At 40.1% G+C, this 20053-nt stretch overlaps 1 protein-coding gene across 1 annotated transcript in view; it reads right to left on the reverse strand.

Annotated features, from left to right (window-relative positions):
* Positions 1 to 639: 639 nt before the first annotated feature.
* The window catches only part of THEM4 (thioesterase superfamily member 4), a 38646-nt gene continuing 19232 nt past the window's right edge, over positions 640 to 20053 (reverse strand). Inside the window, exons 3-6 of the mRNA NM_053055.5 lie at positions 18988 to 19147; positions 18047 to 18157; positions 6775 to 6899; positions 640 to 4702 (exon numbers count right to left, since the gene is read on the reverse strand). Coding sequence (NP_444283.2) covers positions 4662 to 4702; positions 6775 to 6899; positions 18047 to 18157; positions 18988 to 19147 — 437 coding nt within the window. The 3' untranslated portion in view covers positions 640 to 4661. The remainder of the gene's footprint in view (positions 4703 to 6774; positions 6900 to 18046; positions 18158 to 18987; positions 19148 to 20053) is intronic.

Genomic DNA, 20053 nt, shown 5'->3' on the forward strand with positions numbered 1-20053 from the left:
ATTTTCTTATGTTGAACCACCTCTGCCTTTCTGGGATAAATCTCACTTGGTCATAGCATATAATCTTTTTAATGTGCTATTGGATTTGCTTGTTATCTTGTTGAGTATTTTTGCATCTATACTCGTAAGGGATATTGATCTGTAGTTTTGACTTTTTTTTTCCTCTTATGGTATCTTTGTCTGCAGTCCACTTAATTTTAAATCTATAATTGAGAAGGAATAAACCAATTCTGTAATTCTAAACTGGCCAGAGTAGTGCCAGACCAAGAATACTATCAAGTGAAATTTCAAACTTTTCTGAGACATAAAATTCATGACTTTAGTGACTTAAATTTGAAAGATTGCCTCATTGTCTCCATCACAGAGGATGTTGTATACTTGGTCCTGAAAAATATGTTTGACTAGGGTCCCATGATGGTCATCCATTAGGTAAGACAATAATTTGGCTTCATAAGTCCCCAGAAGAGGTTAAGCGTCCTGAGAAGGTAATGGGATAGGGAACATAGGAACATGTAGGATATGAGCTTCCTTAATACAGAAGAAAAGGTTTTTCTTAACTTATATATTTCATTCCATCTTCCCATTAGAGAAAAAACTTAATCTTATTTTGCTTTTTGAAAAAATTCTTCCAACAATATATTTCTGTACATGACTCTCATTTTATTGTTTCTTAGACATTTAGAAACCTGGGAGTAAGAGCAAAAACTCACGGCCTAATTATGTTTACACTGATAGTTTAAAGATATTTTAGCACTAACCAGCATCAATTCCTAATATTCATTCAAAATGTTAGCACTTGGTATAAAGAAGGAAACAGGTTGAGCAAGGTGGCTCATGCCTGTAATCCCAGTACTTTGGCAGGCTGAGGTGGGCAGATCACTTGAGCCCAGGAGTTTGAGACCAGACTGGGCAACATGGCAAAACCCTGTCTCTACAAACAATACAAAAATTAGCTGGGTTTGGTGGTGTATGCCTATAGTCCCAGCTACTTGGGAGGCTGAGGCAGGAGAATCGCTTGAACCTGGGAGGTGGAGGTTGCATTGAGCTGAGATTGTGTCTCTGCATTCCAGCCCAGGCGACAGAGCCAGACCCTGTCTTGAAAAAAAAAAAAAAAAAAGAAAAAGAAAAAAGAAAGGAAAAAGAAGGAAACAGGAAATGAGGAATAGTTCCATTAGGTCACACAGCAAGCCAGTGATGGAGTGGAGCTGGCAATTCTGATAGCATCTCTCTCCTTCTTTCTACCTGTTCTGCCACCTTTTGTTATCTTACATACTTGTCAAAATACAACCTGAGGAAAGCAAGAGTGCCAGGGCATGGTGAAGGCTAGGAATAGTCTGCTGCAAAGCAGGGAAGCCATTTTTCCCTCACTGGCTATGGGGAACCCTATGTTAACAGTGACTGAGCTTTTTCCTTAGTTGATCTTGTGCAGCATCTAACCTGGATGTGAGCAAACCAGTGTAAGAAATGAAACTGTAAAGGGAAAAAAGTGGATACGAAGGGAGGCAGGCATACTTAACATGAAGAAAACCTGGTCATTTGGCACTCTTTCAGTTAGGTTCTTTCACTTGGCTGGAGGTCTGGTGTGCCATAGCAGTTCTGCAAGCCTGCCAGAGAAATCTAACGATGAGAGTACAGTACCTTCATTGTCTAAACTTCCTCCCAACTAGTTAAGTGAAACTAGCTAAATGAGCAGCGCTGGCTTATTCCTTCGGAGTCATATTTTTTAACATGTGAAATATAATTATTGTAAGAGTCCACTCTCTTAAGTTTCAGGATTTGTTGGAAGACTGGGAATAGAGGGTGGCCATTGCCAGACCTGTAACTTGTAGAGCTGTGAGCCCAGCCATCTCCTGGGGCACTTTCCCAGGCTCTCTCAGAATTTCTGGGAGAAGGAACTGCCAGCTTCACCCCTGCAGTGCCCCCATGTCTGCTGGGCCCTTGCAACTTGAGAACTGGAGTTGGGCACTAGAGACAGGGCTTCCAGGATGTGGGTCTTCCTCTGGCTTGGCCATCCCAGGTCAGTCAGCTCTGGCAATGGAGGGCTCCAGCTGATCTTTTGGCTGTGGAAGGATGACTGGGTAGGGTACCACAAGGCTGTCCCTAAGTTATTAGGTTGAACCATAGGAAATTGTCAATATTTGACCATTCTGTTCTTCGAAATAGTGATTTCATATGGTTCAGCTTAAATTTCTAATATGGGGAAAGAAAGGAAAGAAATGGAAGCCCAAATAATCTATTGCCTGCACTAGGAAGCAGAATATATTTTCCAGAACATTAGTCTCTGTAGGGAAAAGAGAGATCAGACTGTTACTGTGTCTATGTAGAAAGGAAGACATGAGAAATTCCATTTTGATCTGTTCTAAGAAAATTGCTTTGCCTTGAGATGCTGTTAATCTGTAACTTTAGCCCCAACCCTGTGCTTACAGAAACATGTGCTGTATGGAATCAAGGTTTAAGGGATCTAGGACTGTGCAGGACGTGCCTCATTAACAGTATGTTTACAGGCAGTATGCTTGGTAAAAGTCATCGCCATTCTCCATTCTCAATTAACCAGGGGCAAAATGCACTGTGGAAAGCCGCAGGGACCTCTGCCCAAGAAAGCCTGGGTATTGTCCAAGGTTTCCCCCCACTGAGACAGCCTGAGATATGGCCTCCCGGGAAGGGAAAGACCTGACCATCCCCCAGCCCGACACCCGCAAAGGGTCTGTGCTGAGGGGGATTAGTAAAAGAGGAAGGCCTCTTGTGGTTGAGATGAGGAAGGCCTCTGTCTCCTGCATGCCCCTGGGAACAGCATGTCTTGGTGTAAAACCCGATCCTATGTTCGTTCCATTCTGAGATAGGAGAAAACCACCCTGTGGCTGGAGCCAAGATACGCTGGCGGCAATGCTGCTGTTACTCTTTGCTACACTGAGATGTTTGGGTGGAGAGAAGCATAAATCTGGCCTACGTACACATCTGGGCATAGTACCTTCCCTTGAACTTATTTGTAACACAGATTCCTTTGCTCACAGATTTTCCTGCTGACCTTCTCCCCACTATCACCCTGTTCTCCTGCTGCATTCCCCTTGCCGAGATAGTGAAAACAGTAATCAATAAATACTGAGAGAGCTGAGACTGGGGCCGGTGCGGGTCCTCTGTATGCTGAGCACCGGTCCCCTGGGCCCAGGGTTCTTTCTTTATACTTTGTCTCTGTGCCTTATTTCTTTTCTCAGTCTCTCATCCCACCTGATGAGAAACACCCACAGGTGTGGAGGGGCTGGCCCCCTTCAACTCTCCGTTCATTTTTTAGTTTTGTTGAGGCTCTTTTACAGGTTGAATTGTGTCCTCCCAAAAAAGGTATGTTGTGGTCCTAATCTCCAATACCTCATAAGGTCACTTTATTTGGAAATACATTTTTTACAGAGGTAATCAAGTTAAAATGAGGTCATTCAGGTGGGTCCATTATGACTGGTTTCCTTATAAAAAGAGGAGACTTGGACACAGAGATAGATCTGCACAGAGGGAAGACACTGTGGAGACACACAGAGGGAATGCCATGTGAAGATGGAGGACTGGAATGATGCATCTAGAAGCCAAGGAACACCTGAGGCTCCCAGAAGCCAGGAGGGAGGCGTGGACAGCTCCTTCCCTAGCACTTTCAGGAGAATGGCCTTGGTCAACACCTTGATTTTGAACTTCTGGCCTCCAGAACTGAGAGACAATGAGTTTTTGTTGGTTTAAACAATCCAGTTTGTACTACTTTGCTACAGCAGCCCTAGGAAATGAACACAGGCTCCTTCCAGTGATGAAAACCTATGCTGTTGGTAAGAAACAACAGTACAGCCTGGGTTAAAAATGGCACAGTGGTTTAATCTCTAGAATCTCAGACAACAGATTTGAGGTATTCATTCCTATAGGATCTGGCTGTGCTTCCTACACTGACCAAAAAAGATTCATGTGTTCAGATACAACAAAGCTAGCTTTCTAACTTACTAACTTACAATGTATATGCATATGCACATGCCTGTGTGTTTCCCACCATGTATTTATTCTTCATGCTTGGTTTTCTAGCATTTTCAAGTTTGCAGTAAAAGGTTCAATACACATTTATTTCTCTAGTCTGCAGTGGAGCAGGTAACATATCCTAAGGAGACAAGAGTTTTTTTTTTTTGTTTGTTTGTTTGTTTGAGATGGGTTCTTGTTCTGTTGCCCAGGTTGGAGTGATGTGGCATGATCTTGGCTCACTGCAACCTCTTCCTCCTGGGTTCAAGCAATTCTCCTGCCTCAGCCTCCTGAGTAGCTGGGACTACAGGCGTACGCCACCATGCCTGGATAATTTTTTGTATTTTAGTAGAGACGGAGTTTCATCGTGTTGCCCAGACTGATCTTGAACTCCTGAGCTCAGGCAATCCGCCTGCCTCGGCCTCCTAAAGTGCTGGGATTATAGGTGTGAGCCACAGCGCCTGGCCCGAGAGTTGTCGATATGCTCGCAGGAAGTATTTCTGTGTTAAAAAGTTGAGAAGATGGAAACTGAATCCTCTTTGTATTCAGAAGGCTGTTTCGGAAGGTCACTGTTGGCAGGCTTCTCCCTACAGGGATTCAGCAGTGAGGGAGCAGAGTATTTGGGGGACAACTGCTTCTTCTGGAGGGGCGAGAATGAGATGGAGTTCACCAGCAGCTCTTTATGTCAGACTTTTAGCAGGATTCAGCTTTATAAATAAGCCTAAACAAACAAAATAACAGCAGATGATTATATGTCAACTGACTTCAATTTGATGGACTACTCTAAATAGAAAGACATATACAAAAGAAGGATTTGATTCACATTTGTAGCTTCAGTCTATCTGTCCACTCTCATTTTTCAGCCAAATTAAGAATCAGCTTTTGACTATCACAATACTGTATTACTTCTCCCTGGGTAACCAGGTCCTCACCACTTGGCCATTTCATGGTTCCTCACTACTTCCATTAGAAATGAAAAGAACTAAAATTACAAGTGAGCCATCTGGCACCTTTATGATATTGAAAGGTTTAGTGAGACAGGAAGTACAAACCACAGCCTGGAATGGAGTTCTTAAATTGACTGTGGATTTAAGTTATTATCTTCCACCTGCTCCTTAAATCCATCATTCCTGCAAATGCTTCATACTTAAGAGGAAAAATAAATTTCTTAAACAAGATACAAAAAAATTAGCCATAAAGGGAAAAATGTAATAAATGCAACTAAATTGACATTAAAAATTTCTGTTCATAAAGAAGATACCTTAAAGCAAATAAAAGACAACTTACACACTGTAAGGAGGTATGTGCAACTTATATATCCAACAAAAAATTGTTCTAATAGAAAATATATAAAGAACATCTATAAATCAGTAAGAAAATGAGAACAAATGGAAAAAAAGCTGAACAAACAAAAATTTCACAGAATGGGAAAAAATATGGTCAATAAACATATGAAGAGACACTCAACCACACAGGTAATCAGAGAAATGCAAATCAAGATCACACCGAGAAGTCATTTTATAGTCATTTGACTGGCAAAAATCATGAAGTCTGACTTCACTAATTGCTAGAGAAGATGGGAATCTAAAGAATCTCATATATTGCTGGTGGGAGTTTAATTTGGTACAGGCTTAGAAAACAATTTTGCATTCCTCTGTAAAGCTGAATACTCACAATACTCTACCACCCAGAAATTCTGTTCCTAAGTATATGCCAAGCTCTTGCCCATGCACACCACCAGGAGACATGAACAAGAATGTTTATAGCAGCCCCATTTGTAATAGTCAGAGGCCTGTCACTGGAAGAGAGACATTCATTGTGGGACAGTCACATATGGAGTATTACACAGTGGTACAAACAAGTGAACACAGCCAACAACATGGATGAACCTCAGTACTCCAGGGAAGTAACAGGTCATGTGTGTGACTTTCCTGAGACAGTCTACACACACATAAATATAGACATATTTTTCTTATTTATGGTATCACAATATTTCACCATTTTTTAATGGCACACACATACAATATAGTTCATAGGTGAGCTGTAGTTCTTTAACCAGTCTCCTATTGATGGATAGCTATGTTTGCTACGTTTTGCCATTTTTCTTGCTATTGCAAATAATGTTGCATGAGTGACACAATCACTGGAACCCGATAGCAATCTAACACATTATAATTTTGCAGTTATTATACCTGTGAGATAAAGTCCTGGAGGTGGGTCAAAGGGCATATCACTTTGTAAATTTTTTTTTTTTTTTTGAGACAGGGTCTGGCTCTGTCACCCAGGCTGGAGTGCAGAGGTGCGATCTCAGCTCACTGCAACCTCTGTCTCCTGGGTTCAAGGGAGCCTCCCATCTCAGCCTCCCAAGTAGCTGGGACTACAGGCGCACACTACCATGCCCCGCTAATTTTTTGTATTTTTTGTAGAGATGGGGTCTTGCCATGTTGCCAAGGCTGGTCTCGAACTCCTGGGCTCAAGTGATCCTCCCACCTTAGCCTACCAAAGTGCGGGGACTACAGGCATGAGCTTATGCATTGGGCTGTAATTTTGATAGCTGTTGGCAACTTGCCCTTTACTAGCAATGTATAAGAATATCTTTAACTTGTTCTTTGTATGACAGGGAATTAAGAATTTTTTGGCATGTATGGGTTATAATACCAGGGCAAAAAACCAAACCAAACCAAAACACCCCCCTGACCCCCACAAAACCCAAATCAACCAACCAACCAACCAACCAAAACTCCCAACCCAACCCAACTAAACCCCAAGAAAGAGATAAGACCAGCTTCTTACTTGTCGCCTCTGAGTATAGGGTCTTCTCATCAACACTCTGAACATTACAGGAAACAAAAAATTTCCTTCCTTCAACTTTATCAAGTTGGCTATTTATCATAACAACAGAACAAAGAGGGATAGGTCTGCAGAATAAAATGAAAAAGGAAAAAAATCAGTTTTTATCTGACTTATATAACATTAAAAGATGATCAAGTACATGACAAGGGATAGAAATTTATGACACCTGACAACAATGAGCACTGACTGCCTTAGACAATACATTCCTCAAGGACTCTGACACCAACAGCCTCTCAAGCTCCCCCTCTCCCAAGCACCACTGCTCTCAGGTGGCTCCTGGGCTACAGTCCCTGGATGTCTCTCTGGGCTTGTTTCAAAGGGATCATCAGGAATTCCAGCTCTGTGATGGCAGAGACTATCCCATCTGGAGATCCACTGCAAAGTCCTAAGGGAGCTGAAATGCTTTAAAGAAGTGAAAATAGGGCCAACAGATGGTCCCAGGCAGCTTCTCTCATTTCTTCTGTCATAATCAACATTTCTCATTCAATTCTGAGTAATGGTCACTAGAAAGACACCTAATAACAACAAATTGCTGATAACAGCTTACTGCTCTAAGTCAGTACTGTCCAATAGAACTTTCTGTGATGATACAAATGTTCCATATCTGAGCTGTCCAACCTGGTAGCCACATGTGCCTAATGAGCACTTGAAATGTGGCTAGCATAACTGAGAAGTTGAGTCCTTAAATTTATTTAATTTGAATTAATTTATACTTAACTTTAAATAGCTACATGTGACTAGTGGCTACAGACGTTTCTGGGAATCCTGGAGAAACATATCACAATGAAAGGATATCTCTTTAAAAGTGAAATTTCAGTTGGTTGAAACAGAAGGTAGAGCACGGAAACGTGTTTCGTGCTCCTATGGTACTACCAAGCAGATGATGGAACTACCCCAGGTAGAAAGGAAGTTATCACTGTGATGATCTCTCTGCCCAGTTTTCCTTTCAATGAACTTTTAATACTTCCACTCCCATTAGCTTTTCCTTTGCTCTTTTGTTGAGTCAATTCAACATTTACTAAGACCCAGGGGACATTAGGTGTTCTCGCCTGCCCAGCAACTCCCTTTTCTACTAACATGACTCTCTTCATTTATCCATCCCCTACCCTCCCTTCATTCTCTTCATATCTCTCTCTTTGATATACTCATGTACCCCTTTTGTCAGGGAACCACCTCTCCCTCATTCTTAGCCCATGTAGGTTGACTGGCATTGAATAATGATCCCTCCACTCCACACACACATAGTGACCAGTTGTGGGGGTGGGCACAGGCTGAAATAGTCAATCCTGGAACTTGTGCTGTAGCCCTTGGGGCTGGGTTCTTTTTCTCTGAGGCGCTAGGCTTACAAGACATAAGCCTGGCTGGCCTGGCTGGTGGCCATTGTGCCACTACACTGGGAAAGGCTACGTAAGGATGAAGCAGATCTAGAAGAAAATGTGGCTGAGATTCCTAATGACATCACTGAATATCTGCACTCAGCCACACCTGACTTCTCAACCATACAAGCCAATATATTCCCTTTTTTGCTTAAGCTAGTGAGAGTTAAGAGTTGCCCTTGTAACAGAAAGTCCTAGATTAGTAAAGAGACTAACAGAAAATGTTTCAGAAAATACAAAATAATGCAACAACTATACAGTGTAATTTTCTAAATGTAACTAATATTTAGGCACAGATCAGTTTGGTTGGCACAGGAAACTGGCTTTAGCTTGTTTTCCTTCGTTTAGCTAGAACACTTAATTAGATTTGTATTAGAGGCAGAAAAGTGATAACAAAGATAAAAGCAGCATTTAAAAATAAAAAAATTTGTTTTATTATATTTGTATATGTCTATACACACACACACACACACACACACACACACACACACACTGGAAAGGCATAACAAAGCCAAAAGATAACTCTTTGAAAAGACTAATAATTTCTGGCAAGACAGATCAAGACAATGAGAGAGAGCATACATAAATACTATTGGGGCCAAAAAGGATATAGATTTAGCTGAAATTTTTTAAAAATTGAGAATATTGTGAATATTATGAATAACTTTATGTCAATACATTTGAAAATGCAGATGAAATAGAAAAAAATTTCAAAAATTTATTAAAACTAAGAAAATGATTAGAAAGCCTGAATAGTTGAATAAAGAAGACACTGAGGCACTAAGCGGAAGGAGGAGTCTCACTCTGAAACGAGACTGGGTCTCTCAATCACTTCATGGGGTTACCCTCACTGACCAGGATAACCACATGAGACTATTAGGTAAACCAAAAAAGCCTATAGGTTTAAAGTAGTGAAATGTAGGAGTTACACTAGCTAATGTTACTCTAATTTACTATAGATTTTTTTTAAAAAGTTCTTTTTTTTTTTTTAACCTCAAATTCAATGTGGCCAGAACATTGGCTTGTAAGGTTCTGGTTCTGTAAAATCTATTAAGACTTAATTTATAAGCCAATACATGATCAATTTTTGCAAATGTGTGCTGGGAAAAAGAAAGTGTGCTGTTTTCTAATTATTGGATGCAGAGTTCTATGTTTGTCTAATAAACCATACTTGTTATCTTGTGATGTTTAAATTCTCCATTTTCTTTCTTTCTTTTCTTTTCTTTTTTTTTTTTTTTGAGATGGAGTCTTGTTCTGTCACCCAGGTTGGAGTGCAGTGGCGCGATCTTGGTTCACTGCAACCTCCGCCTCCTGGGTTCAAGCGATTCTCCTGCCTCGGCCTCCCAAGTAGCTGGGATTACAGGCACATGCCACCATGCCCAGCTAAGTTTTTGTATTTTTAGTAGAGATGGGGTTTCACCATGTTAGCCAGGATGGTCTCAATCTCCTGACCTCATGATCCACCCACCTTGGCCTCCCAAGGTGCTGAGATTACAGGCTTGAGCCACCGTGCCTGGCCTAAATCCTCCATTTTCTAATTGTTTTTTCTTTTTTTTGGAGACAGGGTCTCAGTATGTTGCTCAGGCTGCAGTTCAGTGGCTATTCACAGGAGTTATCATAGTGCATTGCAGCCTTGAACCCCTGGACTAAAGCAATCCTCCTGCCTCAGCCTCCCAAATAGCTGGGACTATAGATGTGCACCACCTCACTTGGCTCTGATTTTTTTTTTTTGTCTGCTTGACCTATCAATAATTGAGAACAGGCTGGGTGCTGTGTCACACCTGTAATCCTAGCACTTTGGGAGTCCGAGGTGGGCGGATCACGAGGTCAGGAATTCGAGAGCAGCCTGGTCAGCATGGTGAAACCCTGTCTCTACTAAAAATAGAAAAAAATTAGCCAGGCATGGTGGTGGGTGCCTGTAGTCCCAGCTACTTGGGAGGCTGAGACAGGAGAATTGCTTGAATCCAGCAGGCGGAGGTTGCCATAAGCTGAGCTCGCGCCACTGCACTCCAGCCTGGGTGACAGAGCGAGACTCTGTCTTGAAAAAAAAAAATTGAGAACAATGTGTTGGAATCTCCCACTATATAAAGGTGGGCTAGTCAACTTCTCCCTATGATTATATCAATTTAATTTATACTCTTTATTAGACGCATATTGATTTAGTTATTATTACCTACTATTGAACTGAATCTTTTATTACTATGAAGTAGCCTTCTCTATCCCCAATATTACTTTTTTGACAGTTCATTATTTTTTCTGATCCCAGTTTTCTTCTGGTTAACTTTTGTGTAGCATATTTTCTCTTCCTTTTAAACTTTTTGGTGTCATTTCAAAAATATGTCTCATATAGTTTCTAGTTTTTTACTTTTAAAAATTCAATATTATAATCTGTCTTTGAACTGATGGTTTGGTCTATTTATAGAGAGTCATTACTGATTTATTTAGACTTATTTCTATCATCTTATTTTGGCTTATTATTTGACTCGCTTTTTCTAACCCTCTTTTTTTCCTTGCCTTTTTAAAAATTGAGTTTTACTACTTGTTTGATCTTGTATTGTTTTAGATATTAGTTATACACTCATTTTCTCTTATTTTAATCATTCTCTCCACTGAAAAATATGAGGATGTATCAACATTAACTCTGTTCATCTCCTCCCAAACTACATGCTATTGTTATCCAGTATTTTAGCTGTCCTTTTGTTAATCACTATAATTTATTTATTGTAAATTTTTATTTTTATTATTTTTAGAGATGGGTTCTCAGTCTGTCCCCCAGGCTGGAGTGCAGTGGCGCAATCATAGCTTACTGCAACCTTGAACTCTTGGGCTCTAGCGATCTTCTTGCATCAACCTCCCAAGTAGCTAGGACCACAGGCATGAGCCACTGCAACACACCAATCCTCAGAATTTAGACATCAATATTACTTATAGACTCTATTTAGATTTTAGTTATCTACATGTTTACCAATTAATTTGCTCATGATTCCTCCTTTCATCCTCCCACCTGTTGGGATTGCTTTCCTTCTTTCTAAAGTCCACCATTTAGGAGCTCCCTGGGTGTTGTCCTGCTGTTCCATAAATTCTCTCCATTTGTTTGAATGACAGCACCTTCATTTTGCGCTCATTTTTGAACTTTAGCTTTGCTGAGAGCATGATTTTAGATCGACATTTTCTTTTGGCAGATGTTTTATTGTCTTCTGGCTTCTACTGTTGCTATTGAGAGGTTTACTGCCAGTGTAATGGTGCCCTCTTGCTTCTAAAAAGCAAGACTGCTTTGTAATGGCTGCTCTATCTTAGCTCTGCTTTTAAGATCTCTTTGTCTTAAGTATTCTCCAATTTCTCTATAATGTCTCTAGATATACTTTTAAAACCTAGCTTGATATAGATTGCTTTCTATATTGTCAATTCATGATTTTCTTTAGCTCTTGAATATGCTGACCCATTATTTCCTTAAATACTGGATCTCTTCAATTCTCTTTATTCTATTTTTCTAGGACTCTAATTAGAGCATGTTAGATCTTTTTATTTGTCCACTATAGCTTATGCTCTCTATATTTCCCATTTCCTTTTTTCTCTGTGCTGGATTCAGGGTAATTTTTTTTTTCTCTCTCTCTCTGCTAAACATAGATCTGAAAATAATAATTAAAAAGCTTCATTTAGGCCGGGCATGGTGGCTCACGCCTGTAATCCCAGCACTTTGGGAGGCCGAGGCGGATGGATCATGAGGCCAGGAGTTCAAGACCAGCATGACCAACATGGCAAAAACCCATGTTTACTAAAAATACAGAAATTAGCCGGGCATGGTGGCATGTGCCTGTAATGTCAGCGACTCAGGAGGCTGAGGCAGGAGAATCGCTTGAACGCAGGAGGCGGAGGTTGGAATGAGCCAAGATTGCACCACTGACTCCAGCCTGGGTGACAGAGAGACTCCATCTCAAAAAAAAAAAAAAAAAAGCTTCATTTAACATATTAAGCTGCTAGCTCTGAATACATTAACTGTGATCCTCAAAATATCTCTTTAAGAAAAGTATTATTGTCTTTGGTTAATGGATGAGGAAACTGAGGCCCAGAGAGGTTAGGTAATTTGCTAAAGCTGTATGGCTATTTGGTGGCACACATGGGATTCAAATCCCCAACAGTCTGATTCAAAGTTCTACTTCCCATTTTGCATTTGAGCTTGTTTTATCTGCCAAATGACTTAGTTGAGGTGGGCATGTTGATGTATTTATGGGATATATCTCAACACCGCACTAGAACAATGGAGCTGGTGACTAATTTAGTGTTTTTAGTAATACAACCACCACCACCATCACCGAGCATATGGATCTGACAAATGAACTCTTGATTAAATTTCAATGGAAGGGGAAAATAACTTGTAGGGAGAAATGATTTGAAGGTTTACTGGGCTGTGAGATTATAAAAATCATGAGAGTTTGCATTAGTTTATTTTCATGCTACTATAAAGAACTACCTGAGACTGGGTAATTTATAAAGAAAAGAGGTTTAATTGACTCACAGTTCTGCATGGCTGGGGAGGCTTCAAGAGACTTACAATCACGGCAAAGGTGAAGGGAAAGGGGAAGGGGAAGCAAGGCACGTCTTACATGGTGGCAGGAGAGAGAGAGAGAGAGAGTGCAAGGGGGGATCTGTCAAATGCTTTTATTTATTTATTTATTTATTTATTTATTTATTTATTTTCGAGATGGAGTCTTGCTCTGTTGCCCAGGCTGGAGTGCACTGGCGCAATCTCGGCTCACTGCAACTCTCAGGTTCAAGCAATTCTCCTGCCTCAGCCTCCTGAGTAGCTGGGATTATAGGCATACACCACCATGCCCAGCTAATTTTTTTTTGCATTTTCAGTAGAGATGGGGTTTCACCATGTTGGTCAGGCTGGCCTTGAACTCCTGATCTCAGGTGATCCACTCACCTTGGCCTCCCAAAATGCTGGGATTACAGGCGTGAGCCACGGTGCCCAGCCTGCCAAACACTTTTAAACCATCAGATTTCATAAGAACTCACTATCACTAGAACAGCATGGGGGAAACTGCCCCCATGATCCAGTCACCTCTCACCAGGTCCCTCCCTTGACACATGGGGATTACAATTCTAGATGAGATTTGGGTGGCGACACAAAGCCAAACCATATCAGAATTATAAAATGTCTAACTAAATTGTTAGTGAAAATAAAGGATTTAATTGTGCATTTTTTTTTTTTTGAGATGGAGTCTCACTCTGTTGCCCAGGCTGGAGTGCAGTGGCATGATCTCGGCTCATTGCAACCTCCCAGGTTCAAGCGATTCTCCTGCCTCAGCCTCCCAAGTAGCCTGGCCTTAACTGTGCATTTTAAAGGAACAAGCACTGGGCACGATGGCTCACACCTGTAATCTCAGCACTTTGGGAGGCTGAGGTGGGTGGATCACCTGAGGTCAGGAGTTTGAGACCAGCCTGGCCAACATGGTGAAACCTCGTCTCTACTAAAAATACAAAAATTAGCCGGGTATGGTGGCCTATGCCTGTAATCCCAGCTACTTGGGAGGCTAAAGCAGGAGAATCACTTGAACCCAGGAGGTAGAGGTTGCAGTGAGCTGAGATTGCGCCACTGCACTCCAGCCTGGGTGGCAGAGTGAGACTCTGTCTCAAAATAATAAATAAATAAATAAATAAATAAATAAATAAAGGAAGGAAGGAAGAAGCTTCCAGAATGTGTTGGCTACAAATTAGAAACACAGTGCCACAAGATTATTAAAGTGATGTGAGCTTCTGATTAAAAAAAATACAGAATGAAAAGCAATCGAAACTCTAAAAAGCAAACAAAACCCAGAAGCCTAGGGATTGTCATTTTCCCTTTTCAAGAAAACTATTGAGTGTATTTTTAAAGCTTTCTTTTAAATTCTTGCAGTGGAGTGATATTTAGAAGTAACTCCTGTGTTATCTATCCATAAGAATTCACATTTACCCCTCTTGTTCTTACATCAGTCAGGTATCAAAGAAACCTTTCTATATAGACTGCCCACAAGGCGGGGTAGTTATAATAGGAAAATGGAGAGAAAGAAATGACATTCCACAGCTTTTGAGTTTCTAGCAAATTCAGAGGAAATGTTCTGACCTTTACCAGCATACCATCTTATCAGGGTAATTTCTTCAGTTCTATATTTCTGTTCACTTTCAGCTGTGTTTAAATAGTCCTTTAACCTATTCACTGAGGTATTTTTTTGTTTTTAAACAATTACACTTTCATTTCCTTTTTTTTGTTTTTTTTTTGTTTTTTTTGAGATGGAGTCTCACTCTGTCGCCCAGGCTGGGGTACAATGGTGCAATCTCTGCTCACTGCAACCTCTGCCTCCTGGGTTCAAGTGATTCTCCTGCCTCAGCCTCCCAAGTAGCTGAGATTACAGGTGCGCACCACCACACCCAGCTAATTTTTGTATTTTTAGTAGAGACGGGGTTTCACCATGTTGGTCAGGCTAGTCTCAAACTCCTGACCTTGTAATCTGCCCATCTCAGCCTCCCAAAATGTTGGGATTACAGGCGTGAGCCACCATGCCCGGCCTACAATCTCATTTCTCAAAGTTTTATTAGGTTCTGTGGCAAACCTGCCTAATAATTTTTATAGTTTATCATTGTTTTCTCTTTTTGTGATTTCATCTTTTATTTATTTATTTATTTATTTATTTATTTATTTATTTATTTATTTATTTTTCTGATGGAGTATCGCTCTGTTGCCCAGGCTGGAGTGCAGTGGCACAATCTTGGCTCACTGCAGCCTCCATCTCCCAGGTTCAAGCGATTCTTCTGCCTCAGCCCCCCAAATAGCTGGGATTACAGGCACGTGCCACCACACCTGGGTAATTTCTGTATTTTTAGTAAAGTCAGGGTTTTGCCATGTTGACCAGGGTGGTCTTGAACTCCTGACCTCAGGTGATCCACCCGCCTTGGCCTCCCAAAGTGCTGGGATTACAGGCGTGAGCCACTGTGCCCAGCCTCATCTTTTATTTCTTTAAACATCTCATACTTTATTCATTTATATTGTGTATTTGATTATCATCATATCTTAGATCCCTGAGGTCTAAATCTTATTTATTGTTTCTGTTGATAGTCACCCTTGGTAGTTTCTTTCCTTGTGTATTTGGTACAGGATCTACTTGTTTTGAAGGAGGAATGTCCTTTAGCATTTCTTGTTTGCCATGTTGCATGAAGAAATCGAATCAGGAGCTTCTCAACTCATGTGTCATGAATGGGTCATTGGCATGCTGAGATATTTACCCTTTCAGCTGGCTTGTCATCACTAGTTTGACCTGCTTTGTCTATTTATCTTAATGTGCTAGGCACAAGGAAATAAATCAAGTGGGATATTTGGATCAGAGGGCTGGAAATTATTTGAAATCATTAAGGAATAATCTTGCTTCTTAAAGGAAGTAAGGTAGATTAAGGCATCTGATGATTAATTGACACTGCAAATTATTTTCAATTAAAATATAATCCCAGGTTGTTACCTGTAGCATCTTGAAGGACTGTCAAGTAATCATATTAAATTTAATATTATTACTATTATTATGAACCTAAATAACTGTATACAAAAAAACAGAGAGTGATAAATATTAAATTCTAAACTACTTATAAAATCCAATACTTTATTCTGGTCTTTAGTCATCAACTAACAGAAGACAATGGAGGCTGTGTGTTGTAGTGAAGAGCATCAGATTTGGTGTCATAAGATGTGAGTTCTAATTCTGACTAAATTGCTCTCTATCCATATGACTTCAGGTAAAACTTCTTTTCAGTATGTTTTCCAATTGTGGGGAACAAATGAACAGCAATGCAACTGATTTTTGTGGATGGTTTATTGGGTGGGACAAACACTAAGCATAGAGTTTGGCAGGTTCTGTTTCCCATTTTGCATTTGAGTATGTGCTTAAGACACAAACACTTTTTGAGATAAACAGCAATCTAAATACTTTGTTTCAGCTTGTTTTCAAAGTAACCGTTTACATTTATTTTTTTAGGAACGATGTTATACTTCATTATTCAACTTTATTTGAACATGGAAAAATATTTTTAAAAACATGGGACATGGAAAAATATAAAAAATTTAATTTTTAATATATTCTTTAACATGTTAAGAAAACCCAGATTTCTAGAATCTAATTTATAGTTATAACTAATATGAAATATTGACCATCTGTAAATATGTCAACTTTCCCCAAATTAATCTCTAGAATCAATGTAATTGCTATTAAAATTGTTAAAAGGAGGTACAATGACAATCTGGGTTTAAAGGTTAAAAATCTAAGGCACAACTAGGAATAGAAAGAAACTCTCTCAACATAATAAAGGCTATTTATGAAAACCCTACAACTAACATCATGCTGAATGGTAAAAGACTAAAACCTTTTCATTTAAGATCAGAAACAAGACAAGGATGCCCACTTTTGCCACTTCTATTCTACATGGTACTAGAAGTCCTAGCCAGAGCAATTAGGCAAGAAAAAGAAATCAAAGGTATTCAAATTGGAAAGGAAGAAGTACAAAGATCTGTTTACAAATGACATGACTTTGTATATAGAAAATCCTAAAGATTCCACAAAAACCTGTTAGAATGAATAAACAAATTCAGCAAAGCTGCAAGATGTAAAATCAACACAGAAAAAGCAGTTGCATTTCTATACACAAACAATGACTAATCCAAAAAGGAAATTAAGAAAACAATTAAGGCCAGGTGCAGTGACTCACATCTGTAATCCCAGCACTTTGGCAGGCCAAGGCAGGCGGATCACTTGAGGCCAGGAGTTTGAGATCAGCCTGGCCAACAAAGTGAAACACTGTCTCTACTGAAAATACAAAAAATTAGCCAGCTGTGGTGGTGCATGCCTGTAATACCAGCTACTTGGCAGGCTGAGGCATGAGAATAGCTTGAACCTGGGAAGTGGATGTTGCAATGAGCTGAGATCATGCCACCACACTCCAGCCTGAGCAATAAAGTGAGACTTTGTCTCAAAATAATAATAATAATAATAAAAAAATTAAAAATAAAAAAATCAAAAAGAATAAAATACATAGGAATAAACTTAACCAAAGAGCAAAAGTCTTATACACTGAAAACTACAAAACATTGATGAAAAAAATTAAAGACACAAATAAATGGAAAGACATCTGTGCCTGTGGACTGAAAAGACTCGGTGTTTTGTGTGTGTGTGTGTGTTTTTGTTGTTGTTGTTTTTTTTACAGTTGGGGTCTTGTTGCCCACCCTGGAGTGCAGTGGCATGATCCTAGCTCACTGTAGCCTTGAACTCCTGGGCTCAAGCAATCCTCTCAAGAAGCTAGGACTACAGACGTGCACTGCTGGGCCCAGCTAAATTTTTAAAAAATTAATTTTGTTATGTAGTAGATGTTGGTGCTCCACCCAGAGCCCCTTGGATCCTTTCTTCACTTGTTTTGGTTATTTTCTCTAGAGTCTGCTTTGCTCAAACACAGAGACCCTTAGAAGTACTTGGAAATTTATGGTCCCTGGGATGGCCCTGATCCTATGACCAATACATGCGAGAGTATAAAGACTCTAGCTCCCTCATCTGAGATGGAGACAATTCTGAGGCATAAATTTCATTCTAGAGCTCTCTTGTATGATCTGGCTAAAGCTATGCTTTGCTGGACTTTTGAGAGTTCAGCCTTGGTTGACACTTCTTCATCTTCCCCGTCCTGCTTCTCCCACTCCCTTGCTAGTCTCCTCTGGGAGCACTTCCTTAATAATCACTTGAACACAAATTATGGTGTCAAGATCTGCAACTGGGAACCTGACTTAACAACACCTAAGGATAAATAGAGAATTACTGTGAATTTACCTTTTATAATTGATGTTGAGATTGGCAGTCATGACGATTCCCCCAGCCATCATTGCACACATACCAACAGTAGCATCAATCATGGTTGCAATGGCACCTCCATGAATGAATCTAGTTACAACAGGAGTGGAGGAGAAATGTTTTCAGAAGTTCTGAAGATAGAGAGCCTCTTGAAAGAGAAAAATTATCCAAGCATCTTCACACTATTTACTTATGAAAGGTCCACTTAGCCCATGTTCAGTGTACTGAATGCCAAATACTATCTATGTCCCCAACTTTGTTTTGTTCACAGCATAATAATATAGTCTTAAGTATTTGTAATAAAACCAGAACTTAATAGTAACCAGATCGCAAGCAAGCAAAAAGCTAAAATGTAATTTAGAAAATTTATATTATGTTTTTATTATTAGTCAAGTGTGGTGTCATGTGCCTGTAGTTCTGGCTACTCGGGAGACTGAGGTGAGAGGATTGCTTGAGCCCAGGAGTTCGAGGCTGCAGTGAGCTATGATTATGCCACTGCACTTCAGCCTGGGCAAAGGAGCAAGGCCTTGTCTCACAAAACAAAACAAACTATACATATTCATTGTTTAGAAATGTAGGTAATGCAAATATGAAAAAAAAGAAAAAAATTTAGGACCCATAATACTACCCACCTAGTCAGTGACAAGCCACTGTTAACACATTAATGATATGCTCTCAAATTATACTCTATTGCCCTATGCCCTATAATATTATAATGCTCATATATAAAAATATTTAATCAATATTAATAATATAGATAAGATGTCCTTTAATAATGTATTATAAACATCTTTCCATGTCAATAAATATACATCTATGTGACCATTTGAAAATCTTTATTGTAGTCCATGTACAGGACACATGGGGGCAGTGTAAGATAAAAATCTTTTAGATCCACACTTTCAGGCTATCATTCTTACCCAGGTGGTCCTTCCAGGTAAGGGCCTCCTTGAAATAAGCAAACCATCCTTTTCTCAATGTCATTGTAGAACATCACGTATTCAAAGCCCAGGCCATCATCAAAGCTTCTGGTGAAGAGCTGGGCCTGTGACATTTGTTCTTCTTTCATAAGCTTTGGGTCTATAGAAAATGAGGTGGATGGCAAATGAGAAACAAGGGTGAGAGAAATGCCATGGCAGAGCCAAGCACCTGTACCCTGCTAGAATCACATGTCAATAGATGATTGATTCAAATGTCCACAGGGTGCAAAATTGAAAGGAATGGGAGCGTCTCAATGAAACAGAAGATAGGATCTTTGCCCTTGTGGAATTAACAGTCCAACTGGGGACAGAGTAAACAGACATGAAATCAAAATGAAGTACCCACACATGGCAATCAGGAATATAGTATATAAACGCTAACAATATACTGAATAAAATGGTACGGTAAAGACGGAAATCCTTCTTGGAAGAACTGTGGTTTAAATGCAATTTACAGAAAATAAAAAATGTAACAGAAAGGAGGTTTCCCTGGCAGACATGAGTTGAGTCTGAATCAGCAACAGGGTCAGTTCAGCCCAACACTCAAGTGATTGTGACTCTAAGCCCCCAAAACTGGCAGTGAGAACCATTAGGGTTCATGAAATCAGATTGTGGGTTGTAACCAGGCTTCTTTTTTTTTTTTTTTTTTTTTGACAGAGTTTCACTCTTATTGCCCAGGCTGTAGTGCAATGGCGTGATCTCAGCTCACCGCAACCTCCGCCTCCCGGGTTCAAGCGATTCTCCTGCCTCAGCCTCCTGAGTAGCTGGGATTACAGGCGCCCACCACCACGCCTGACTAATTCTGTATTTTTAGTAGAGACGGGGTTTCTCCGTGTTGGTCAGGCTGGTCTTGAACTCCCGAACTCAGGGATCCGCCTGCCTTGGCCTCCCAAAGTGCTGGGATTATAGGCGTGAGCCACAGCGCCCGGCCATTAACCAGGCTTTAAAAAGAAACAGAACACTTAGTTAACAGAACCATATACTCTGGGTAAGTAATAGTGCACTT

Source organism: Homo sapiens, chromosome 1 (assembly GCF_000001405.40).
Source record: "Homo sapiens chromosome 1, GRCh38.p14 Primary Assembly".
Lineage (NCBI taxonomy): Eukaryota > Metazoa > Chordata > Mammalia > Primates > Hominidae > Homo > Homo sapiens.